This window comes from Homo sapiens, chromosome 1 (genome assembly GCF_000001405.40).
Source record: "Homo sapiens chromosome 1, GRCh38.p14 Primary Assembly".
NCBI lineage: Eukaryota > Metazoa > Chordata > Mammalia > Primates > Hominidae > Homo > Homo sapiens.
Window position 1 is genome coordinate 151,772,759 of NC_000001.11, and position 25,857 is coordinate 151,798,615.

Consider the following 25,857-nt stretch of genomic DNA (forward strand, 5'->3'; position numbering starts at 1 on the left):
ACATGAGCTACTTACCAGAGCTGCTCCTAGAATCCAGGTTTCTAGAATCTTAATCTGGGCCTTTTCTTTTGAATAGTATAGGTGGGGTCTTACTCACACAGCCTAAACCTAAATTGGTTCTGGTTCCTAGTGAATTTTTTTTTATGAGACAAGGTTGTGTGGTGGTGCAATCTGGGTTCACTGCAACCTCCGCTTCCCAGGTTCAAGTGATTCTTGTGCCTCAGCCTCCCAAATAGCTGGGATTACAGGTGCCTGCCACCACGCCCAGCTAATTTTTGTATTTTGTATTTTTGTATTTTTTTGAGACAGAGTCTCTCTCTGTCACCCAGGCTGGAGTGCAGTGGCATGATCTCAGCTCACTGCAACCTCCACCTCCCAGGTTCAAGCAATTCTCCTGCCTCAGCCTCCCACGCAGCTGGGACAACAGGTGCATGCCACCATGCCTGGCTAATTTTTTGTATTTTTAGTAGAGACAGGGTTTCACCATGTTGGCCTCAAGTAATCTGCCTGCCTTAGCCTCCCAAAGCGCTGGGATTACAGGTGTGAGCTACCGTGCCCAGCCAGTGAATGGTTATTTCTGAAGTGACTTTAGAGAAAGAATATGAATGTGTATATGGGAGGGACACTTGTTTCATAGATGTGATCCTTTCTGTGAGGCAGTTGGCAGTTTTCACCAGATTTAGGCTCACAGCCTGCTTCCACCTTGTGATTCAATCAGAATTTGGTTTTAGAAAATTTTCTTGAGAACTTTATTCAGCAAAAAAATCCTCCAAATGATTCAAACAGGACTGTATACTCTTCCTCTCTCTCCACGGGTGTATATGTGTGTATACATATAGATATTATACTAGCAATTTAGAAAATTTCCTGAGCCTCCTGTCTCCTTTCTACTTATATTTTAACTAAAGGTTACAGAGAAATAGCTGGAGCAGTTTCAAAAGCCTGTCTCCAATAACATATCAGCAATTGAGGCTGGGAGGCAGTATTCTCTTCCCACTTCCTGAGGCTTTTAAATATAATTATGCTAATTTTTGCCTTTGCCTCCTGATTCAACTGGAGTCTTTGAGTTCACCACTCAAAAGCTTTCCTTAACCAGAGTCACCTGATAAGGTGAGTCAGAAGTCTGCAGAATCACTTCCAATGACGAAAGCCTGACTGTTTCCCAGCCTCAAAAAGGATACAGCCTAGTAGTAATGTGAATCATGACTGGTAGAGGGGACTGAGCCTGACGTTGAACGGCCTGGAAGTAACACAGCAGTATTCAAACACTGGAGGGTTGGGGAGGGATCCGGAGGTGGAATGGGGGAGACACACTTGTAGCGTGGTAGTCCAATTTTTTTGTAGTCTGATGGGAGGAGAATATTAATTTGGTCCACAGCAAGCCAGACTATATGTGTAATAAAGGAAGGACTGCATGGATCCTTTATCATACACTCCTCTCCTCCATGCACCAATTCCTATGCCAAATCCTGCCAAAGACAGAAATACACAAAAAGCTTGAAAGTGCTCAATCTGAGAGCAAGTTAAGCTGCAGGAAAGCAGCTGCAGAGAAGTATATTAAGACAGGGCATGGGAAAGAGGGAATCAAAGCAAGTGCCCCACTGTCGCCCTCATTACTTTCCTGTTGCTACAGATAGATGATAGCTGCACTCACACAGCAAAGCAGATGGCTGAGCAAACTGAAGCCCAGACTTCAGAGTAAGTAGTCATCTTCAAGGTTATCATCACCAGACATGGAAGCAGCTTCTATTGAAGATAAATAAGAAGGAGAAAGTTAGACACTGCCCTATTCTAGCAGGCAATGCCAGCGAGGCTCAAAAGAAAAATGGACCTCTTGGTACTCAATGACCTGACTAGGAACCAAGCCTTCAATTAACCTCCCTACTCTGGAAAGACTGAATGAGAAAAGTTAATCTCCAAAGATGCTCTAGGGAGGAAATACTGCTTGTACCTGATAAGCTGAGGCAGGACAGGGTATGTGTTATCTCTCCAGAGCTCTTTTTGGTCTCAGTGAGCAACGTGCTGAGAGAGGCATCTGTTTCTGTGGCCTGAGTGGATGAAAACAGGAAAAAAGGAGGAACATGTTGGCTTTTAGGAAAAAAGAGGCCACCCTTTCATTCTTCTCATAGGACCTGGTTAAGGCAGTTGCATTTGGCTACCAAGAGGGACAAAATGCTCCTTTGGTCAACTACTGGAGGAGCTCAAAGTCCTTAGGAAAGCTAACACAGTATCAGGACTAGAAGCCCTTAGTGTCTATGTGCTAGATTTGCCTGGAAGCAGCACCCTATATAACTACAATAGCTCACCATGTCCTTCAACATGTCTGGGACAGCTCTGTTTTCTTCTATGTCTTCAGGAAGCTCAATTGCGTATCCTTTGTGTACTAATTCTAGCCCAATATCAAGTTTCTGAGAAGAAAAATGAAAAGGGAATGATGTTCTCTCAGTAAGCAAGGGCAAATTTGAGGAAACAAGGCAGAAGGACTGATACTTTAAAGACATTCCTTTGGTGAGATGGTGAGAAGGATCTTACAGTAAGAGTAATATCAGATAAGGGTTTCTGAGGAAGAAAAAGTAAATTAGGCTATAAATATACTGAAGATATGGCAAGCAGTGAGTGAATGCCAGTCTTACCTTCCCATTGCTAGTATCATATAAGTAGATCTTTGGCCAAGTTGAGATCCCAGTCTGGACATAGCTAGAGATCTTGGCTACCAGAGGCTTCCAGTCAGCACAATGAGTGAGTCTATCAAACTCATCCAAAGCTTCCTCTTCCCACTGGTCACCTGGCAAAAGATTGTAGGGGTTACTGCTGATAGGGGTGGGGCTTATACCCTGGAGGGAAGTTGGAACTACCCTTTTCTACTCAGGAAGGCACCTGTGTCTTCTCTGGTTGGGTTGGGTCTGCCAGGCAAGTTTCTGGCTGCTGCTAGTGCTGGTGAGGAAAAGGCACCTGAGTCCCCAGAATTCAAAAAGCCTGGGAATGTGAGAATTCCTTCCAATGAACTGTATGAAGTTATTCTATTTGGAGGTAAGCTCAATAGATGGCATGACCAATTTACCTGAGGGAGCAATCCGTGCCAGACTACATTCTATTGCTTGAAATGGAAGGCTTAGGAAGTCACTCCTGAAGTAAAAGAAACTAAAATTAGAATCCTGGGGCCAAAAACATCTTCTTACATTGCTGCTTTCAGAAAGAACCAACTAACATGAGACGATAACCATCTGCTCTCTGTAAACAGGTTCCCTTCCAAATCCCCCTGACAACTGCCAACAGCTCACCACCCTATGGCCAGAACTGAGTCAGCAGTTGGGATTGAGCTGACCTCAGCACTGACCTGAGAGCCCTGAGGTCCTTCAGTGGGCAATCTCCATTATCTCCAAAGTCAACAAAATAGAGGTCCAAGTTCCCATTCTCCAAGGTGCCGAGGACCCGGGCTCGATACCAGGAACCATTTGTAGGTAAAGGTGCTGCTACAATGTCTCCTACATGCACAGTCAAGTCTTCAGGCTGTATGTGGGGAGGAGGAGAAAGGCAGAGAGTTACAAAGTGGTAGGCTCATAAACAGAATTGCAGGAGGAAGAAAGAAAAGTAGTTGCTCCACAGGGAAAGGAAGAGTACAATGAAAAAGATATGCCTTCTTTTCATTAAACCCCAGCCCTGTCCCTATGGCAACTCACCACACTATTCTCATAGTGCTGGGTCATCTCATTGACAAGCTTATCCAATTGCAGGCTGCGGGAGCCAACGATCTGGATCCAGAAGTGGTTAGGGTGCTCAGAAGCAGAAACGTAGACTTCTAGGTACTCATCAGCATGAAAACTGAAGTCAGGACTGGGGACTGAACACAGAGATAAGGATGGTGGCCACATCAGACCCATCTCTGGTTGGAATGAAGAGACTAACCAGGGTAGTGAGAGGTACAAATACCAATGGCTGTTACCATTTTAAAATGGCAGGAGAGGCAACTGGATGAATCAAACAAGAATATCCTAAAGAAAGATACTAAGCTATCCTTTGTACCTTTCCATGTAACTGAGTAATAACAGCTTACATTCTTTGTCATGTGCTACATAGTCAAATCGGTCACCAATTATACAGAAGGTAAACCTCCATATGCTAGCTACAGCATGGATCAGTAAAAAGGTATATGGACAGCAATCTTTACATGGACAGTGACGGACATGGACCTGTTCCAGATCCCATTCTACCACTGACTCTTTACATGACCCTGGACAAGTCTGTGAGCTTCTTGGGAATCCAGGTCCTCTTTGCCCACGCCAAAACCTATGTACAGAAGAGAAAGCTCACAGCCTTTTCAATAGTGATGATTTTTAAAAACAGTAATGAAAAAGGCAATATAAAATCTGGCTGAGAATTTTACTTGTTGATAAAGTATGTCTAGGCTGGGCATGGTGGCTCATGCCTGTAATCCCAGCACTTTGGGAGGCCAAGGTGGGTGGATCATTTGAGGCCAGGAGTTCGAGTCCAGCCTGTCCAACATGGTGAAACCCCATCTCTACTAAAAAATACAAAAATCAGTCGGATGTGGTGGTGTGCACCTGTGGTCTCATCTACTCGGGAGGCTGAGGCATGAGAATCACTCGAACCTGGGAGGCGGAGGTTGCAGTGAGCCGAGAATGCACCATTGCACTCCAGCCTGGGAGACAGAGGAAGACTCTGTCTCAAAAAAAAAAGTATGTCTAGAGGAACAATATCATGTAAATCCAATTATTTGATGTATTACTCATTTGTTTCCTGTGTCAGCATTATTTTGCCATTTCCATCAGCTGTTTTATATTTAGAAAAATATTTATGTTTAGTATTAATTCAAGTAAAATATTATTACCAGTAAGGAATATCTGTGATGATAGACATAAGTGTATTCATGAAAAAAGACTTTTTATTGCTTCCTATTTTGGGTAATCTAAGCCAGTATTTCTTTTTAAAAAAATAGTTAATTTTTTTTTTTTTTTTTTGAGACAGGATCTCACTGTCACCCAGGCTGGAGTGCAACGGTGCAATCCCAGCTCACTGTAGCCTCGACTTCCTGGGCTCATGTGATTCTCCCATTTCAGCCTCCCAAGTAGTTGGAACCACAGGTTGCGCCACCATGCCCTAAGCCAGTATTTCTTTTTTTTTTAAACAGAAAACCTAGGTTATTTGTTAAGCCGTTACAAAAACAAAACAATTACCATTTGAAGTACTTTGAGGACTTTATCCCAGACTCATTTGTTCTGTTACAGAAACTAACCTAAAAGGTTGGAAATTAAAGAATATAACCTAAGAGGTTATAACAGAGCGGGCTGGTAAAACATGGCGAAAGGAGCTCTCTCTTTCCCACCCTGTCTATTTATACCTCCAAGCTCCTGTGCATTCTCACCACATAGGTCTGCTAGCTTACATAAAATGCATACAGTGAAGGCAGGAATTATAGGCCTACTCAGAGGGTACCCAGACACAGAAAGTTTGGGGTAAATAATAAACTACAAATATCCTCTTGGTTAATTCATTTTTGTTAATAAAGGTCATGTATCTATCTTTTGCTGGTAACAACTTGTCTCAATATAGTCTGTCTCAAGAAAGAAGTAGTTCAGGTTGGGTTTTGGAAAAGGAAGAAGACTTTCATCAACTTTGCTTCAGAGTGGAAGAGGCACCAAGTTCTCTCCTACAATTAGGAGCAGAATCTTATACCTGCATAAATCATTTTCAGTGATCAACATCTGCACCCTCAAACTGTCCAGCAACTGTTGGTGTGGATTCTACCTCCATCCCATCTTCAAAATATCTTACCGAATCTTCTGTCCTGACCCCAGCCATATTATACTGGCTGCTCAGACTGAGAAGGCATTCCTTCTAATCTCTCCAATATCTAAGCCAGTATTTCTATCTTCAATGATTAATGGGCTCCCTCTTTGTTACATACTTTCAAACATGGGCATCTCTGGGATGGCCTGGGCTTCAGACTTCTGAAAGCTGTCATCACTAGGTTTCTCCCAGGAACCTTCCTTTGACACTACCACAGCCATGTCGCCTCCTCCTTTGGGTGGAGGAGTCACCAGGGGTGCAGTCGGCTCCATGCTAGAACTGGTGTTTTTCCATAATGCTGGCTCTCCAGCTCCACCTGGCTCTGTCATGTCTTCTCTTCTCACACTGATTGGCTGTTTGCGTGGGACCCTGGTTTCTGCAGAATGAGCAATTCTCTTCCGAAGTTCTTCATCTTCTGAAACTTTCTCCAGTATCAAATGCTGTGGAAAACAAGAGAAAGGATGATATTCTGACCTGGGATAGAGTAAAAGGATCTTCTCATGCTCAGGTATAATTCAAGTCTATTAGCTACTTGCCTTGGCTGCTGCCACTTCCTTCTGTGTTCCTGAGATTTTTATAAGTCTTGATAGTAGTAATGTCCCTTCTGATTCTTTGTCACAGGTAATTTTGGCTCCAGATGCCTTACAGATAGAACGAATTGTCTCGCCGCCTCTCCCTACATTAAACAATATATAAAAACCTGCCCTTCCCTCCTGGCCAACCTTAGCTACTGGAGAAATCACTGTTTTGTATATACTAGGAGAAGAGAATCAGTTCTCATTTCTAAAGTGAACAAAATACAAGATGTTGAATGGAAATCAGGAGCTACTGAAATCATTACTGTGAAAAGGAGAATACCATATTCTTTCCTTTTTCCATTTTATTTAAACTCTACACTTTGGCTAACTTCATGTCATTTTCATTTTGACCACTCAGCATGGCCATATCAGGTCACAAGAAGATATGCTACATAGTGTGTCAGAACACCGGATCAAGGACAGGACATTTCTCTGCCTCTAACAGCAGCACTAAGCAATGCTCTAGGGGAAAGCATAAAAGGTACCCTCTAGAGCACTGTCTTGAAAGACTTGAGATAACATGAGCATCCCAAGCTTCCCTTTAAAAATCAATTATAAGGTAAATATAATACATCTACTAGAACCCTTAAAGAATCAATTTGTAAGGTTCAGATCATACAACTTCTTGAGGAAACAGGTTTGGTTTTACCACCAGTTCTACAAACAGTAAACCTCTGGTCTCAATGTCCCTTTTTTTCCCCTCACATGGTGAAGGGGAACTAGGCCAGAAAAAACCCTGGGAAGGTGTGAAAGAGGGGCAAAGGTAAAGAATAAAGGAAACAATAGAGGAAGCCATCCAGTGGTACCTATGATTCTGCCCACAGATCTCTGGGGAACTGAAAGCTGCTCAGACACTGGGGTATTCTCTGTCAGGATCTGATGGATTGCTGCTTTGGCCTTGCACACCTGAACAGGAAAACCACTGATAAGCAGCACTCGCTCATCGCCTACATCCTCTGTGTCCACATCAATCCGAGCACCTGTCTGTTTCCGCAGCTGCAAAGAAAAGGACATTTGGCAGTACATTCTGGAAGAGCTCCCATTTGAGCCCAGCTACAGACACTCTAAAACAAACCCTGGAGGTAGATAGAATTAGCCAAAGGAATTAGCTAATACTATCTATACAACCAGTCCTCAATTACTTTATATACAACCTCAGTTACTATCTATACAACCAGTCCTCACTTTATGGAAGGAGATTAGTAACAAATGTAACCCCAAATAGCAGTAAATTCAAACCCATTTATCTTTGTGTTTAGAATCCTTTCCCCTTACTAATTTTATTTGGATTAGAGAATCAAATATTTTGTTTTCTTGACATTCCAGCTGAACAATGGAAGATGGTAAGAAGAACCAGGTAGCCATTCAATATTTACTGTCAATTAATGAGAGTTCATTAATTCCATAGTAGAAAAGGATAATTTGACCAGGCGCGGTGGCTCACGCCTCTAATCCCAGCACTTTGGGAAGCCAAGGCGGCTGGATCACGAGGTCAGGAGATCGAGACCATCCTGGCTAACATGGTGAAACCCTGTCTCTACAAAAAATACAAAAAATTAGCTGGGAGTGGTGGCGGGCACCTGTAGTCCCAGCTACTTGGGAGGCTGAGGCAGGAGAATGATGTGAACATGGGAGGCGGAGCTTGCAGTGAGCCAAGATCATGCCACTGCATTCCAGCCTGGGTGACAGAGCCAGACTCTGTCTCAAAAAAAAAAAAAAAAAGGATAATTCAAGTTATACCATGCTGACAATCACCCAGTCAAAAACCCGTATTTCAAGCTAAGTCATCCTTTCTCTAGGGAGAAGTACTCTTCTCTAGAAGGGAAGTAGCTAAAAAGTTTAGTTAGCTAAAAAGTTCCTCTATTTGTTCTTTTAAAAATATACATAGTGGTTGGGCCCAGTGGCTCACACCTGTAATCCCAGCACTCTGGGAGGCCGAGGCAGGCGGATCACCTGAGGTCAGGAGTTCGAGATCAGCCTGGCCAACATGACGAAACCTCGTCTCCACTAAAAATACCAAAAATTCGCTGGGCGTGGTGGCGGGTGCCTGTAATCCCAGCTACTCGGGAGGCTGAGGCAGGAGAATCACTTGAACCCAGGAGGCGGATGTTGCAGTGAGCCGAGATCGTGCCATTGCACTCCAGCCTGGACAACAAGAGCGAAACTCCATCTCAAAAAAAAAAAATATATATATATATATTTTATATATACACACACACATACACACACACACAGAGCATGTGAATGTTTTGTGATATGGGGTCAGTGGAAGGAAACAAGAAATCAATAAACAGAATCAATCCTTGGGAAAGCAGACTGCCTACTCACACACTTACCTGTTTAATATTGGCTCCTTGCCGGCCAATGATGAGTTTCACAGCCTCCTGGGGAACCCGCATCTCTATCTCAATGTCATCTTCCCCAACAAATGTCAGCCGCTCTTCTGCACAGATCATTGTTCATCAGATCAGACTTAGATAACACCCAAAGCTAGTATAACTACCAGTCCTCCCCAGAATCTGGCTGTCAAAGAGACACTGATCCAAGAGATAAAGTGAGGATCTCAACCATAACAACAAGGAAAAGTGGCATCTGAATGGGAATTAGAAGGTCCCAAAGGATCAGAGATGGGCATTTTCTCTGGGACACTGTTTCAGATGCTAAAATGGGAAAAGCAGATTCTGCAATAAACAGGTGCTGGGGTTTGGGCAAACTACTTCTCCCAAGACATGACTACTGGAGAAGAATGAAGGCCAAAAGTTACCTGAGGGGTCCATTAGGCTCAGAACTTCTCCTGACTGATAGGTACATAAGTCATTTCTCTAGGTCCTATTCTCTAGATCCAGCCTTTGAGGTAAGTGCCTTCTACTAACAACTAATTAGAGAAAAGGAATATATAAAAAAGATGAGTATAGAAATTAAAAAAGAACTCTTTGCTGTGTTGATGTTGCTGAAGAAAGCACATCAATGGAGTTATAAAATGAGTTCATTTCATAGACTAGCTTACTTTGCTATGTAAGAACATAGCAAAGACTAGGCCAGGTGCAGTGGCTCATGCCTGTAATCTCAGCACTTTGGGAGGCCGAGGCAGGTGGATCACTTGAGGTCAGCCACCCTGGTGGTGAAACCCCGTCTCTACTAAAAATACAAACATTAGCCAGGAGTGGTGGCACACGCCTGTAATCCCAGCTACTAGGGTGGCTGAGGCAGGAGAACTGCTTGAACTCGGGAGGCAGAGGTTGCAGTGAGCCGAGATTGCTCCACTGCACTCCAGTGTGGGCGACAGAGTGAGACTCTGTCTCAAAGAAAAAAAAAAGACTAAATAATTTTAGTCAAAGATTCCTCACAGAAAGTCAATTAAAATACCTGGGTCAGGCATGGAGGCACATGCCTGTAATCCTAGCACTTTGGGAGGCCGAGGCAGGTGGGTTGCTTGAGCTCAGGAGTTCAAGACCAGCCTGGGCAACATGGGAAAACCCCATCTCTACAAAAAATACAGGCCTGTGGTCCCAGCTACTTGGAGGCTGAGGTGGGAGGATTGCTTGAGCCCAGGAGGTCGACACTACAGTGAGCCAAGATTGTGCCACTGTACGCCAGGCTAGGTGACAGAGTGAGACCCTGTCTCAAAAAAACCCCACAAAAAACCCCAAAACAAAACACACACAATACCTGGCAAGGAAAGAGTTTTTTTCAATTTAACAAGGCAGGAGCATGTCTGAACATTTTCACACACACAGTCATAGGGTTCACGTACCTCTGCTTTCCCTATACCTGCGGTATAGGATATAGGCAACTGTTGCACTGGCTGGGATCCCAAGGCCCAGGGCTATTTTCTGAATGGTGGACAGGCTTGTCCAAGAAGTCCGTTCAGTAGACATTTTCTGCTGTACTCTTTGACTTATATCCTGAAACAAGCAAAGCAGGGAAAAGAGGGAGGTTTCATCCAATCCTTTTATGAATAGCAGAGAGGCATGGGAGCACATTATTACTGAAAAGACTACTACTGCCTACCTTCCAATTTCAAGAGCTTCAGCAATTTCAAAATTTATTTCATATAAAAAGGGCTCAGGGTATTTTTTAAAAGTTAGCTAAGGTACACATAGAATTAAATAGAAGCATACTTCACTTTCCCCACCCAAGTCAGTTTTAAAAGACAAAAAAAATTAAATGAATCAAATATTTGAAATATATATACTTAGATTTCATATTAAATTATTTAAAATTACTTATCTAAGTCCTTTTATGCCTCCAGGGCTTTCCAGAAGCTGCTGCCTCTGCAAGAAATGCCATTCCAGGCTTAGTAAAGGCCTTACTATTTATCTTTGTTGGAAGTACAGTCTTCATTTACTGTCTCTACTTTTGGTTTCTATTTATTTACTCCTTAACGAACAGTGAAATGGGGTTCTTCCCTGCTCCATCGCCAAAACTGTAACTTCCCAGATAATCAACCTACAGGTCATGCATGGAGCCTTATCTCACCCATCTCTCTGCGGTAGCAGGAAGGTGGCCACTCCCTCCACAAAACTCTTTCCTTGGTTTCTGTGCCCTCTTTCTCTTGGTTTCCTCTTATTTCCCTGGAGGGTCCTTCCAAGTTTGGGCTTCTCATCCTGTGCCATCAATTGTTAATGTCACTCTGCTCTCTTTAGACCATTTCATCCACATATGTGGGTTCAATTACTACCTATATGCTAATGACATCAACAATGCTGCATCTGGCCTGATTCAGAAGCTCAAATCTTATTTAGACCACAGCAGTGGACTTCTTACAGGCTTTTGTGCTGAGTTTCTCTTTGACACTGTATCTTCATTTTGCTGCCAAGCAAATTTTAACATGTTCCTCATTATATTTCCTTATTCCACATAGTTTCTCAGCCTCCCTCTCCACTCAAACGTCTCGTGCTGCCTCCTCCAACCTCTCTCAACTGAGGTCCTTGCTATTTCACTAAAAAAGGAGAGCATTCAGAGAAAATATCCACAAGCTTCTACACATTTGCCCACCTTCCTCCACCTGTGCCTAAATGCTTGCTGTTCTCTCCTGTGACCACAGATGAACTGTCTCTGCTCCTAGCACTGAAGTCTTTCATAAAAGCACTGCTCCACAAGTTCTCCTTGCTTCTACTACATGATTAACGTTTTCTTTCCTCTCTACTGGATAGTCCCATCAGCAGACAAACATTCTCTGTTCTTAAAGAAAACCCTTCCTGGATTTCACTTCAACTACTTCCCATTTCTTTTCTTCCTTTTAAAGGAAAACTCGAGTGTCAATATATCTGTCCTCAAGTTCTCTTCTTAAATCCACTCTAACTGCTCACATCAGAGTCACCAATGATTTCATACTGCTCAATCCAAAGATCGATTCTCAGTTTTCATCTTACCAGATGTCCCCACAGTATTTGGCACAGCTGATGATTCCCTCTTCTCTGAAACACATTCTCCATAGCACACCCTCCTGGTTTTCCTCTTTCCTTTCTGGCTATTCCATCAGTCTCCCAGTTGCTGGTTTCTTCACATTTTTCTAACCTCTAAACACTGGAGTGCCTCAGGGATCTGTCCTTCGCCCTCTTCTCTGTTCTACCTCACTTTCTTGGTGATCTCAAGTCTCATTCACGGACTGGCTTTAACTCCTATCTAGATGCTGATAACTTCCAAATTAATAGATCCATTTAGGACCTTTCTCAACTGCCTACATGGATCTCCATTTGATGTCTAATAGACATCTCAAACTTAACACTGAGCTCCTGATTCACCCCCTTCCCATAATCTTTGCCATCTCAGCAAATGGCAATTCGTTTTTTTTTTTTTTTTTGAGACAAGGTCTTTCTCTGTTGCCAGGCTGGAGTGCAGTGGCGCAACCATGGCTCACTGCAGCCACAACCTCTGGACTCAAGCAATCCTCCCATCTCTCAGCCTCCCAGTAGCTGAGACTACAGGTGCATGCCACCATGCCCGGCTAATTTTTGTATTTTTTGTAGAGAAAGGGTTTCACCATGTTGCCCAGGCTGGTCTCAAACTCCTGGGCTCAAGTGATCCACCAACCTCAGCCTTCCAAAGTGCTGAGATTACAGGTGTGAACCACTGTGCTCTGCCTCGACTGCATTCTCTTACTCCCTTAGTCATCCTCTCTCTCACACTGCACACCTAGCCTGTCAACAAATCTTATTTGCTCTACCTTCAAATCATCCAGAATCTGACCACTTTTTCTCTTTGCAGTTCTATGACCCTGCTCTAAAACACCATTATCTTTTCCCTAGATTACTGCATTGCTTAATTACGTTCCTGCCTTTGCCATTGTCCATTCAGTTTATTCTCAACACAAGAGCTGGAGTAAGTACTATGTGCTAGATGCTACTGTGGCACTAAAGACACAAAAATGAAGAGATAATGTGTTGAGTAGCTACTATGCCAGGCAAATTACATAATTTTATTTTACAGTCATATAACCCTGTAAGGCAGGAAATATTAATCCCATAGAAGAGTACCCATGCTTGAAGAGGTTATCTAATCTCTAACCCAGAGTCTGGGTTATTCTTGCTTGTAAAAAACCTTGTAAAGTGATTTTAGAAATCCTTCCCCACTCTTCCTTTTACCTAAGCTCTTAGGGTAACAGCACCTGTATTTTTATTCTTTATTTTGATCAACATATTCAATTCAAAATTAATACTGGTAGAAAGTACTGTAGGTGGTTAAAAAAACACTGAAGACTAAAAAACTAAAGATAGGTGATAAAAAACTGAAAACTAAATATCTGTATTTCCAGATATTACAATCTAGTAGAACAAAGCAAGCTGGCTTTAAATAAGATTTGCTTAAAAATGAGTAAATGTAACTTATGCCATAATTTACCTCCAGGTACAAAAATTCAACCCAAATAATTATAATAAACAAAAATGTATTTCACCCTGGGGGGAAAAACTGGCTATATCCTGGTAAGGCTAAAAACATACTCATTAATACAAAACCTACTGTGGAATAAAACTTAGGCTTTCAGGGAAAGCACAGTCAATCTGGAAGAGTAAAGAGAGAAAGGAGAACATCTAGCACCGAAATCTCACTGAGGAGCAGATATAGTCAGGTAAGGGAGGCTGGAGGTAGATTTCTTACAACAGTCATCCTCTCTTATCCTCGAGGAATATGTTCCAAGAACCCCAGTGGATGCCTTGGAGTACTGAAAACTATAGGTTTTTTCAATCTGATAACCAAGATGGCTACTAAGTGACTAAGAGGCGGGTAGCATATACAGCATGGATATGCTGGACAAAGGCAGGATTCTCGTCTGGGCCAGGATGGAGATTTCACCATGCTAGTCAGAATGGTGCACAATTTAAAACTTAAGAATTGTTTACGTATGGAACTTCCCATTTAATCTTTTTGGACCAGGATTGACTATGGGTAAGTGAAAGCAAAACCACGGAGAAGGGTAGACTACTACACTGTCATACAGATGACCAGAATTTGCATCTGGCCTCACAGCTTTACTGATCAACAGAACTGAATAAAGTTCTTCAGAGAACTACCAGAAGTTTGCCAAATCTATTTTTTCTATATCCTGGTTTTAAACAAATTTAATCCACCTTCTTGCCCGGACTCAAAAGCCTGAGCAAATAATAAAACGGCCTTTTACTACCCGAGGTGGGGGATGGGTACCTCTTTTCAAGGGTGTCGTCTATTTTGGGTCATTAGTTACTCAGTGAATTCAGTATATCATTTTTAGAGACTATCAATCTGAGGGAATACTGTTCTCTCCCGACCTTTTTAGAATGTAGGACAGAAAGGGTTGAGGTTAATGTAGGCTGTTTGTTTTCATTTATGAGGTTCTTTTCCCAAGTCATTGGATAAGCTTCTCTTTTTTTAAATACACTGCAAATAAAAGCTTTCACCATCCTGAAAGTTTGGATGGTATTATATAAGCATCGTTGTATATACCAAAGGAAAGGAAACAAGTTGTTTCATAAAGGAGATTTTTGACTTAAATAATTCTTGAATACACACCTCCCAAACTGCTACTTTCCTACATTGAGATGGTTTATTCTTGGTGTCTAGAAAGAATTTGACTTCTTTTGTCCCCTGATTACTTTAGATATATATATTTTTTGAGACGGAGTCTCACTCTGTTGCCCAGGCTGGAGTGCAGTGGCACGATCTCAGCTCACTGCAACCTCTGCCTCCCGGGTTCAAGCGATTCTTCTGCCTCAGCCTAATGAGTAGCTGGGACGACAGGCACCTGCCACCATGCCCAGCTAATTTATGTATTTTTAGTAGAGACAGGGTTTCACCATATTGGCCAGGATGGTCTCGAACTGCTGACCTCATGATCCGCCCACCTCGGCCTCCCAAAGTGCTGGGATTACAGGCGTGAGCCACTGCGCCTGGCTTAGGTATTTTCTTATATGACCACTAAAGTGCAAAGCTTGTTTCCATTATTAATGCATCTTGGTTAAATAGTGCTAGCTCTTTCTTGTGTGCTGAGCACGTTGGGGACAGAAGGAGGAAGAAGAATTTCTACTTGGAAATATTCATAGTCTAGGAAACATAAACACCAAAACAGGCTGGGCACAGTGGCTCATGCCTGTTAATCCCAGCACTTTGAGAGGCTAAGGTAGGAGGACTGCTTGAGACCAAGTATTCAAGACTAGCCTGGGCAACATAGTGAGACTCTGTTTCTACAAAAAAAAAAAAAAAAAAAAAAAAAAAAAAATTAGCTAGGCGTGGTGTTGCACACCTGTAGTTCCAGCTACTCAGGAGGCCGAGGTGGGAGATGGCTTGAGCCCAGGAGGTGGAAGCTGCAGTAAACTGATGACACCACTGCACTCCACCCTGGGCAACAGAGCGAGAATTTGTCTCAAGGGGTTTAAAAAAAAAAAGTATAGGGCAAGATGTGTGTAGGTTATATACAAATAATATGCATCTTATACAAGGGACATGAGCATCTATGGATTTGGGTTCTGCAGGGTTCCTGGAACCAATCCCCTGCAAATAACGAAGGGAGGGACAACTGTATAAATTCTTGGTCAATGCGACAGTTGAAAGTAGCTAGAACCTTAAGGTTTATTTCTTAGATGGTGTATAGTTGAAAATCATCTCATTAAAATACAACTCACTTTTCTTCCGCAAACCTATACTACATGAATGAACTGCACTAAATGGACATTTATTCAAGCCAATAAATATCGAATTCTGATGTGTGCTTGACCCTCGGGACACAACAGTCAAGATAGATTTGGCAGCTGCCTTCATGGAGTTTCCTGTCTGGCAAGGAAGATCTTGACAGGCAGGAGTCTTTAGGTCTTAAGGGCTTTGGGAAACTGAAATCTAGCCCTGTGAACAAGAATAAACTGGATCTGTATTTTCATGCTGTCTGCTTTTAAAAACTGGCCATAATTGATGCTTATGGGGCATAGAAATCACAAGATTTTATAACTAGAAGGGACTACAGAACTTATTTGATTCCATTAATAACGTTGCAATTTGGGAAACTGCGGCTAAGGGATAGAAAAGGATTGATCTAAGATCACACAGCTCATTAGTCATTTCTACACAATACAGTGTGCAATAGAAATAAGTCTGTTTTGATGGCCAGTCATAATCACACCTCTTTACAGAGGCCCAAAGGACTAGCAGCACTTTTGTTTTCCAGTTCTGACACTATCAAGATCAAGTGCAGAGGGGTCTCTGCAGCCAAGGCCCCTCAATCTCGACCCCCTACACTGGGTTGAATTACATTGCTATGGGTTTCCACAGAATCCCCAATATCCCTTGATAACACATGCCATGCTTGTCATTCTTGATTAACATCTGTGTCCGTGGTGAGGAGAATGAATTGAAGGCAGCAACCGTGGCTGCAGGAGACCAATCAGGGCCTAGTCCAGGTGTCAATGATGGAGATGGAGAACAGATGAATTGGAGAGTTTGTTGTTGTTTATTTAGAGACAGAGCCTTGGTCTGTCACCCAGGATGGAATGCAGTGAATGATAATAGCTCACTGCAGCCTTGAACTCCCGCAGTCGTCCGGCGTAGCTGAGATTATAGGTGCGGTTTTGGCCGACTTCTATTTGAAGCAAAAGGTAAATTTCACTAACTCCTCTTCAAACATTACAAATGAATTTGTGCTAATTGAGTTATCAGCTGATGTCTCAAAAAATGAGACTCTACTTGATCTGTCACTATGGTTTTGTTCACAATTTTCATATCCTTTCAGCTATAAGTTTCTCTTAAAGAGAAATGGAAAATAATATAATGTAAACGGGGATAACTGCATAGTACTGACTGCTAGCTTGTGTTTGATTTTATTACTTAAAAATTGAATGGGAAGGAGGAAAATACTAGAACTTAAGACCACAGTTTCTAGGGGAAGCTAAGAAGAGAAGATGAGGATCATTGTTCAGTGAGGAATGTGGTTAGATAATGGTTTTCAGTGAAAGCTAACTTTGAAATTTCCTGACATTTGTATTGAACAATTGCCAAAAACTATCTGATATGCATCGCTAAGGCTTACTTTATCATTTAAAATGACAGGAGTCAAATAGGATGTGATGAGAAGTCAAATCACATTGTTAGCTCCATGAAAGCATAGATAACTCATTCCAGTATCTCCTAATAACCAGAACCTACAAAGAACCTACAACATGGTGACATGCTTGAATCGAAGCAGCTCAATGTTCTCATCCTTGGTACGTTTATTTTAAATTCACGAGAAAAAAAAAAGTGTCAACCCCTTTCTCTCAAAACAAGGAAAGGGTCTAAAAGTCAGTCTTTGAAATAGGGGTCTCCAGCCAACCCCCACGATGATACCTGGATTAAGGAATGAGGGATACTGGAAAAACAAAAACCCCAATGTATTATTCTGACGACTGTAAACAGCCATCCTATTAGCGATAACTAAAGAAAAAGCTGGGGAAAGTTAAAGGCAAAGTGATATACGGATGGCAGCTCTCAGTCTCAAAAAGGCCCAGTGGAAGAGTCTGAACTGACTCAGGGCAAACACAAACGCTCCCGCACCGGGTCCGTTGTGGCGTAAGCGGGTGACTGGAGCATCTTCCTCAGATACAGTTACGAGTTCCCAGTGGGTCAAGTTGCCCCCGAGCGGCGTCTCACAGCCCAGGGCTCTGACTCCCCCGCTGCGCCCCACATCCTTCCCTCGCCCCGGGGCACGCCAGACCCCTCCCTTCCCTCGCTCCCGCATTTCCGTCTCCTAGTGGCCAGGGCTGCCCATGACCCTGTCTTTCCCACTCCCCAAACCTTCGGTCTCCATCCTCGCCTTTACCGCTGCTCCAGTCAGCCGTCGAGTGCGCCGCCTCGCGCCTCACCCCAGCTGCAGCCACCAGCGCCGCCGCCTCCCACTCACACCACCACAGTGAGCCCCGCCGGCGGCGCTTCAGCCGCCACTTCCCCGCCCCCGCAGCCCGACAGCACCAATCAACACCCTGCTCGCAGTCCGACCAATCGCCTTCTCCCGTCACAACCAATCCTTCCGCGGGCTGCCCCTGAGCGACGTGGCTGCTGCTAGCCGCTGCCCAATTACCCGGATGGAATCCAAAGCAGGCCCACCCTGTCAGCCAATAAGATCCAGGAAAAGCAGATGTTGTTAACTGAGACCGCACCTGCTGAGAATTAAACAGCCAATTACAAGCTTCCCGGCGTCCTCGCAGACCACCTCTAGGCCAATTACCGAGGAGTTTTCTATCTTCTAACCCTTGGAGGAAAATCTGCGCTCCAGCAGCTGGGACCGAGGCATGAGAGCGTTGAATCATGAGTGGCACCGTTCGCAAAAATTGGTGTCTTTGTACAAAGACAGTGCCACAACACAACTCAGTGACCATCGGGAGAGCAGCCTCATGATGGGCGATGCTCCATCAGTTTTCTCTTGCGATCTTTTGCATAGATCGGTCCCGCCCCGCATATGGCGATGAGGACTCAAGAGACACGGAAAACGTTTTCTTTCTGGAAAACATGAAATAGGCTTTGTAGATGGACAGGAAGTCAAGGGACAAGCGGTGCGCCGCAGAGAGCGAGGACCCACTCTTCTATTCCTTTGCGGAGGCACGGACACACGGTGTGGCCCGAAACAGCGGCAGGAGAGTGAGACCCGGGCTCCGACCGCGGTGGTAAGGGGGCGGCGGGCCATAGGGGCGCCAGGGGCCCACCCTTCCCTGGGGATTCGAGGAAACGGGTCGAGGCGACAGCGTGAAGGCCTACGCCGGGGGAGGGGGTGGTGGCGGGGGGCGTTTCTGTGGGGGCGAGGAAGGGAGCGGGTCTCCGCAGGCGGAAGTTTGCTTTGGAAGATTTTATTCCAGACGCTGTCCTGGTCCCTGGACGGTTAGGAACGGTTGGGTCCTGCTACTGCCTCCGTGGGGCAGGGAGCCTCGCGAGACCAGCACTGCGCCCTACTCGGTCCACCCTGTCCCCGCTCCGCGCTAGGGGCTCACCCTGGGAACAGGGGTCGGGCGATCCTGGTCATTGGGGGATCTTCCGCACTAGCTTCCATCACAATACCTGGCAGGTGATGAGCAATAAATATTTGCTGAAAGAACGCAAGGTTGTATCTTTTGTCAATTAGGCAGATGCCTTTGGGCCTCAGGTTTTGCTTTCTATTAATATAAAAATGTGTATGCGTTTTGAATAAGTAATACATTTACATTCTACAAAATTCAGAAGAAACAAGGTTATTATAGTGAATAAATTTTCCTTCCTTCAAGGCAACTAGGGTTACCAGTTTCTTGTGAAAAATTTCACAAGATATTCTATAGTTAACGTGTGTATATGTGTAATATATAAAGTGTATATATATATACACACACATATATTTTTTTAACCCAGTTGATAACATACATACTATTTTGCAACTTTCTTTGATACAGTCTGGAAATGTTTCCGTAGCAGCATATACGTATCTGCCTCATAGTGATAGTTTCATAGTATGCCTGAGGGATATATGAAGATATATTTAACCAGTCCTTTAACATTTGATTGATATGCAAGGATACTTCATTTCCCTCTTGCATATGTGTATGATAAATACTTAGAAATGCAAGTGCCAAGTTAAAGAAATGTGTGCATTGTTTTTTCATTTGGATAGATAAAATTTTGTAAATTCCCTTCCTCCCACAAAGATTTTTATAATTTTAATCCCACCAGCAATTTTTGAAAATGATTTTAGTTAGTATTACCAAATTGCCTTCCCTGGAAATTTTACCAATTTTGTCTCCTGTCAGCAATGTATGAAAAGAACCTGTTTGATAGCACACTGGTGCTGTTAAACTTCCTGATTTTTGACAATCTGATAGTGTAAATGCTATCTCATTGCAAGATAAAATTTCATTGCTCTTATAAGTAAAGTTGAGCATCTTTTAATATATTTAAATGGCAATTTTTTTGTAAATTCTCTGTTTTTATATTCTGTTCATATTTTTATTGGTTATAGGGTCATTTCTTAATACTTGCTGTTTGTATATAAGTTAAAAGTATTTTCCCCGGCCAGGTGTGGTGGGTCACGCCTGTAATCCCAGCACTTTGGGAGGCTGAGGCAGGCTAATCACCTGAGGTCAGGAGTTCAAGACCAGCCTGGCCAACATGCTGAAACCCCGTCTTTATTAAAAATACAAAAATTAGCCGGTTATGGTGGCAAGCGCTTGTAATCCCAGCTACTTGGGAGACTGAGGCAGGAGAATCACTTGAACTGGGGAAGCGGTGGTTGCAGTGAGCCGAGATTGCCACTGCACTCCAGCCTGGGCAACAGAGCGAGACCCCATCTCCAAAAAAAAAAAAAAAAAGTATGTCCCTTTTCCCAGTTTGTTCTATGTATATTGTTTATACATATAACAAGTATTTTCCCTTTTCCAAGTTTGTTCTATGTATATTGCATATTTTGAGGCTGGTCTCCAACTCCTGACCTCAGGTGATCAGCCTGCCTCAGCCTCCCAAAGTGCTAGGATTACAGGCCTGAGCCATTGCCCTCAGCCTGTTTATGGTTATTCTTTGCAAATGTTAAAAATTTTTATGTAATTGAATTTATCAATATTTTCTTTGATAATTTCTGGGTTTCTTTCTTTCTTTTTTTGAGGCAGAGTCTCATTCTGTCGCCCAGGCTGGAGTGCAGTGGCATGATCTTGGCCCACTGTAACCTCTGCTTCCCAGGTTGAAGAGATTCTCGTGCCTCAGCCTCCTGAGTAGTTGGGATTACAGGCATGTACCACCATACCTGGGTAATTTTTGTATTTTTTAGTAGACTCGGAGTAGTTTTGCCATGTTGGCCAGACTGGTCTCAAACTCCTGGCCTCAAGTGATCCACCCGCCTTAGCCTCCCAAAGTATTGGTATTACAGGCGTGAGCCACTGTGCCTGGCCAACTTCTGTGTTTCATATAATTTTTAGTAAAGTCTCCCACTATTTAAGATTATTCTTAAAGCTCCTATGTTTTTTTAAAAAGTACTTTGATAGTGTCTTTGTATATGTAAATATTTGATTCATCTGGAATTTATTTTGGTGTAAAGGTGTGAGATAGAGATCCAATTTTGTTTTGTTTTATTCAAATCCTTCTTATTGAATAACCCATGTTTTCTCCATTGTTTTTGAATGCTACCTTTATAATACCAAATTGCCATATGTATTTGGGTCTATTTCTGGATTTTTTTCATTTTGTTCCATTGATCATTAATTTTTTTTTTTTTTTTTTTAGACGGAGTCTCACTCTGTCACCCAGGCTGGAGTGCAGTGGCACGATCTCGGCTCACTGGAACCTCCAACTCCCTGGTTCAAGCGATTCTCCTGCCTCAGCCTCCCGAATAGCTGGGACTACAGGTGCCCACCACCACACCTGGCTAATTTTTTGTATTTTTAGTAGAGACGGGGTTTCACCGTGTTAGCCAGGATGGTCTCGGTCTCCTGACCTGGTGATCCGCCCGCCTCGGCCTCCCAAAGTGCTGGGATTACAGGCATGAGCCACTGCGCCCGGCCTAAAAATTTTTTAAATTGTATACATTATGGTTTTTTTTTTTACCACAATTTAAAAAATTAATTTATAATATACATGCAGAAAAATGCACAAATGACAAGTATATATCTTGATGAATTTTCACAAATGGAATACATTTGTGTAACCAGCAGCAGATCAAGAAACAGAACATTGCTAGTGCCCCAGAAGCCACTTGTGTGTTCCCTCTCAGTCACTGCTCTTCTCAAGGACAACCACTCTTCTGACTCCTGATACCATAAACTAATTTTGCCTGTTCTTGCTTTTTATATAAAGAGAATCACAGAGTATGTACTCTTTTGTGTCTGGCTTCCTTTGTTCAAATTATTTCTGTGAGATTCAGCCATATTGTGTATAGTTTTAGTCCCTTCATTCTGACTACTGTGTGGTATAATATTGTGAGGCTATATTGAACCATAATTTACTCTTCTATTCTGTTACTGTTATTTTGGCTGGAATCACATATTTTTAGATTATCTAAAGGAGAATGTATGATAAGAATCTTCCTATCTTCCTATACATTCAAGTCATTGGTACCCCATCAGTAGAATTTTAGTTTTCATTATGTAGAATTTACATACTTCTTATTAAAATTATTCCTAGGTATTGAGTGCCTTGATTGCTATAGCTATTTTTACTTTAAAAAAAGTAAAATGGTAGTTCAAATCCAAGGAAGAATGTGTCCAGTGTTGCTATAAAAATACAGACCTACTTTATGGGTCCATCTTCTTCTAGCTCCAGTGAAGGTGGGATGGGCAAAAAAGAGGAAATGAAGTCCAAAAAGGGGGTTACACTTTATAGTTAAACCACAAGAGGAATTTATTTCTTTTTTAAGACAGAGTCTTGCTCTGTTGCCCAGGCTTGGGGCAATGGCATGATCTCTACTCACTGCAACCTCCACCTCCCGGGCTCAAGCGATCCTCCTGCCTCAGCCTCCCAAGTAGCTGAGACTACAGACATGCACCACCACACCCGGCTAATTTTTGTCTTTTTAGCAGAGATGGGGTTTCACCATGTTGCCCAGGCTGGTCTCCAGCTCCTGGGCTCAAGGCATCCACCTGCCTTAGCCTCCCAAAGTGCTGGGATTACAGGAGTGAGTCAGTGTGCTCAGCCTCACAGGAGGAATTTCTTAATCAGAGCAGTGAAAAGCCAGGTGGCATCACTTTTCCCGGATTTTTTTTTTTTTTTTTTGAGATGGAGTCTCACTCTATCATCCAGGCTGGAGTGCAGTGGCACGATCTTGGCTCACTGCAACCTCTGCCTCCCGGGTTCAAATGATCTTCCTGCCTCAGCCTCCCGAATAGCTGGGATTATAGGTGCACACCACCACACCCGGCTAATTTTTGTATTTTTAGTAGAGATGGGGTCTCACCATGTTGCCCAGGCTGATCTTGAACTCCTGATCTCAGGTGATCCACCTGCCTCAGCATCCCAAAGTGCTGGGATTACAGGTGTGAGCCACTATGATCTTATTTTAAAATGAGATTTATTTGATCTTATTTTAAAATCAGATTGAATTCTAACTTGCTGGGTAGGGAGGTTGGGGAGCAGAAGAAATAACTTCGAGTGAGCTGATGCCAAACTCACCCTCAAGTCACTGTACATTTGGGATTTGTCATCTCATTTCTCCTCTCAGATCCCAAATCAGGATTGAAAGATTGAATTGTGAGATGCTGGGATTGAGTGAATTGTAATTTCTTTATTCTCATCTCCAGTCCTAAGAGTCTATTCTCTTTCCCTGAAGGGTGTTCTGAACAGGCTGTGGGAGGCATTAGGTGGAGTGAGTTAAGATAAGTTCTGGGTTTCCCAGAGGGTTCAGTGAGCAGGTGTTCCCTTTAGTAAACTGAAGCAGGAAAGAAGATCTTAGCTAGGGATCTGGGCAGTGAGGGGCTCTGAAATACAAGGAGCCTGGCTCCGGAGCCTTGGCTGCCCACAGAGTTCCTTCCCTGTACAACATACGAATGATTCATTCAAGTGCTGTTCAGCTGTCTGAGTCTGAAAAACAGCACTCATCTCTCCTGTTGCCCATCGTAGGAGTCACCCCCTCCTCCCCACTTAAGCCTCTTCACCAGAAACCAGCGACTGGGAGCAGAGCCTTAGTGTCCTCACTTATGCTGGTGCTACTATTCAATCTTTAGGCCAGATTTAATTGTGGCAGATGCCCTAGGAAAGAATTCTCCTCAGCCTCTCTGACCACCACCACCCAGCTCTATCTTCCTACTTAATTCCCCTTACGAAGCAATTTGGAGGAACAGGACCCAGGAGTCCCTGTTTTCAGATACTCTCCAGCCTGAGTCACCACCGTACTGACTTCTTACAGCAAGAGTTCCACCCAAAGTCTCTTGCCTCTCCCTCAGATGGGTGCTGGTGGGAGAAGGGGACAGGGGAGGAGAGAATGATGGAGCATTTTTGTGTGTTTTCTTGCTGGGCCCATTGTAATACCTGCTCTTACCTGTGCTAACATCCACTTTGAACGGTAGTCCTTCTCAGCCTTTTCTCTTTGCCTCTAATGGACCCTGGGGAGCAAAGGTGGCCTGAGGCCTCAGTTTCTGCTGCAACCTGTGGCTTCTTATAGCAGAATTTTTAACCTATATTCTATGGAGTCTGTGATGGCTTCAGAATAACTGGATAATTTACAAACATTTTTGTTCACAGCTTGCATCAGGGATTCTCAGAGGGATCTGTGACTCAAAAAAAGTTGAGGATCATTGCTTAGCCGGGCTCTCATCTCCTGAATCAGGGATCCAGCACAGCACAGGAAATAGAAGTCAGAAATAGAGAAAGATTGTATGGGGGAAGGAAATGTGAAGTGCTGAGATGGTGCCACAGCATCTTTGGGTCCAGAGTTCTCTCTCAGCTTAGGTAAGACCATGTCTGAGATGGAAGAGAGAGGGGTAGAAGGAGAGCAGGATGGAATGTCCTCAGAAAGGTTCTGTCAAGCAGGGGTAGGCAGAAGGTAGGCAGAGTCAAATTCTTCTCCAATCTGAAGTAGCTCACAGATTGTTCCACCAATCTGTGCAACCTCTCTCTAACCTAGGAGGTTGTTGAGGTTAGAACCCAGAAAAGAACTAGGAAATGTGAAGCCTCCATTTCAGAGAATCCTTTGCTGGAAGCCAGGCATTTCACTGAAGTCCATTTACTCCCTGGAATTTCTGCTCCTTTCTATCAGTCCCTGAGGCAGAGGCTGTAAGGACATTGGGAGAGGGGACTGAGAAGAAAGAGTAAAAACAAAGAAAAACCCCAACATCCTGAATCAGGTGCATTAGAGTTAATGAAGAATGTAAGGACCAATAACTTAGCCCAGTCCCCACTGAAAGTTCAGAGTGGATGCATTGGAAGATTTCTCCTTTCTTACAGGTCGTGTCCTGCAACTGAAAGGCCCTGGGAGAGAGAGCCGTGAGGGCATGGCAGTGAGGATGGCAGTGTGGTGGAAAGGGGGAGTTTTCAATCAGACAGCCATGAGCTCAAATAGCTAGTTACTATTTACTAACTAGCTCTGTGCACTTGAGCACTTACTCTCTTTGACCTTTAGTTTCACCAGCTAAGATGCCTCTCTACTTTATAGGGTTGATGTAAGGATTAAATAAGAAAATATATATAAAGCCACTGACATAGAATAGGCCCTCAATAAATGTTATTTTCTTCTCTTTGAACTGCTGTCCCACCCTGGGCAGAGCCTCCATTAGATTGTCCCCATGATGTGGTACCATACATCCCTGCACATGGGCCACAAAACTTCTGCATACACACCACCCACTCATGTCCTTGGCTGCATTTGCACACTCATCAGCACACACACAGCAGCCTGTGCCATCACAGCTGAGCTGAGGGCAGTCTTCCCGACAGGTAAGATGAGGGACTGGCATGCTAACGCTTGGACAAGCTGTGGAAGTGCTCATCATAGTAAGCTTGTTTCCTGAATGGGCTTCACCCCTCAAAAGTGTTCTGGTAAAGCTGTGAAAGGAGACTAAGGGGCTGTGGTGGGACTAACTCCATAGGCATTTCCTTGAGATTAAATGTGTTTCTTGAGGGATACTTTGTCCACCCACCACTGCCAAGGAGACCTTAGTCTATACGCCAGGTTGCAATGTCTGAAGCTTTGCTGTCCAATATGGTAGCCATTGGCCACATGTGGCTATTGAATGCTTGTAAAGGTAGGTGGTACAGCTGAGGAATGGAATTTTAAATTTGTTTAATTTAAAATTTAAGACAGAGATTCGATTCAGTTATTGGAAAATGTTTTATGTTTGAAAAAACTTAGATGTGTGAATCCACTTTCTCAACAGTGACCTGTATGAAATATAGATTTTTCTGGTGAAAATTTAGTAACTGAATTGCGATGTTGAGATGTACTGTAAGTGTAAAATATACACTGGATTTTAAAGACCTAATATGAAAAAATGTTAAATATTTTATGATTGATTTTTATATTGATAATATATTGAAATGATAATAGTTTGGGTATATTGGGTTAAATAAAGTAAGTATTTAAATGTATCCGTTTCAT

General features: G+C 43.2%; 1 protein-coding gene, 1 long non-coding RNA gene and 1 pseudogene across 15 annotated transcripts in view, besides 1 other annotated feature; 1 reads left to right on the plus strand and 2 right to left on the minus strand.

The window, feature by feature from the left end:
* The window catches only part of TDRKH (tudor and KH domain containing), a 24,049-nt gene extending 6,273 nt beyond the window's left edge, over positions 1 to 17,776 (minus strand). For 2 of the 13 annotated variants that reach the window (XM_047441989.1, XM_017000126.2), the window contains exons 1-13: positions 17,647 to 17,776; positions 10,141 to 10,291; positions 8,723 to 8,829; positions 7,193 to 7,382; positions 6,345 to 6,484; positions 5,927 to 6,248; positions 3,681 to 3,841; positions 3,338 to 3,510; positions 3,062 to 3,126; positions 2,634 to 2,785; positions 2,307 to 2,408; positions 1,952 to 2,048; positions 1,655 to 1,746 (exon numbers count right to left, since the gene is read on the minus strand). In XM_047441989.1, the coding sequence (XP_047297945.1) occupies positions 1,694 to 1,746; positions 1,952 to 2,048; positions 2,307 to 2,408; positions 2,634 to 2,785; positions 3,062 to 3,126; positions 3,338 to 3,510; positions 3,681 to 3,841; positions 5,927 to 6,248; positions 6,345 to 6,484; positions 7,193 to 7,382; positions 8,723 to 8,829; positions 10,141 to 10,264 (1,686 nt within the window). In that variant the 5' untranslated portion in view covers positions 10,265 to 10,291; positions 17,647 to 17,776 and the 3' untranslated portion in view covers positions 1,655 to 1,693. Of the gene's footprint in view, positions 1 to 720; positions 1,747 to 1,951; positions 2,049 to 2,306; positions 2,409 to 2,633; positions 2,786 to 3,061; positions 3,127 to 3,337; positions 3,511 to 3,680; positions 3,842 to 5,926; positions 6,249 to 6,344; positions 6,485 to 7,192; positions 7,383 to 8,722; positions 8,830 to 10,140; positions 10,292 to 17,621 lie in introns of those variants that run through there. The other 11 variants (XM_047442008.1, XM_017000127.2, XM_017000123.3 and 8 more) reach the window with 9 other exon arrangements.
* On the minus strand, positions 5,143 to 5,872 carry LOC100270670 (chloride nucleotide-sensitive channel 1A pseudogene; annotated as a pseudogene).
* Positions 17,427 to 17,686: a silencer, noted in NCBI's record as "silent region_1326". NCBI's record gives its function as "represses an Ori minimal core promoter by ATAC-STARR-seq in GM12878 lymphoblastoid cells {active_cell/tissue: GM12878}" and the evidence as "EXISTENCE:reporter gene assay evidence [ECO:0000049][PMID:35858748]".
* TDRKH-AS1 (TDRKH antisense RNA 1) lies at positions 17,991 to 21,644 on the plus strand. Of its 2 annotated transcripts, none has more exons than NR_146292.1 (2): positions 17,991 to 18,487; positions 21,057 to 21,644. It is a non-coding gene; the product is annotated as a TDRKH antisense RNA 1 (long non-coding RNA). The 2 variants fall into 2 exon arrangements; NR_146293.1 differs by lacking the exon at positions 21,057 to 21,644 and adding an exon at positions 18,677 to 18,912.
* Positions 21,645 to 25,857: the final 4,213 nt, after the last annotated feature.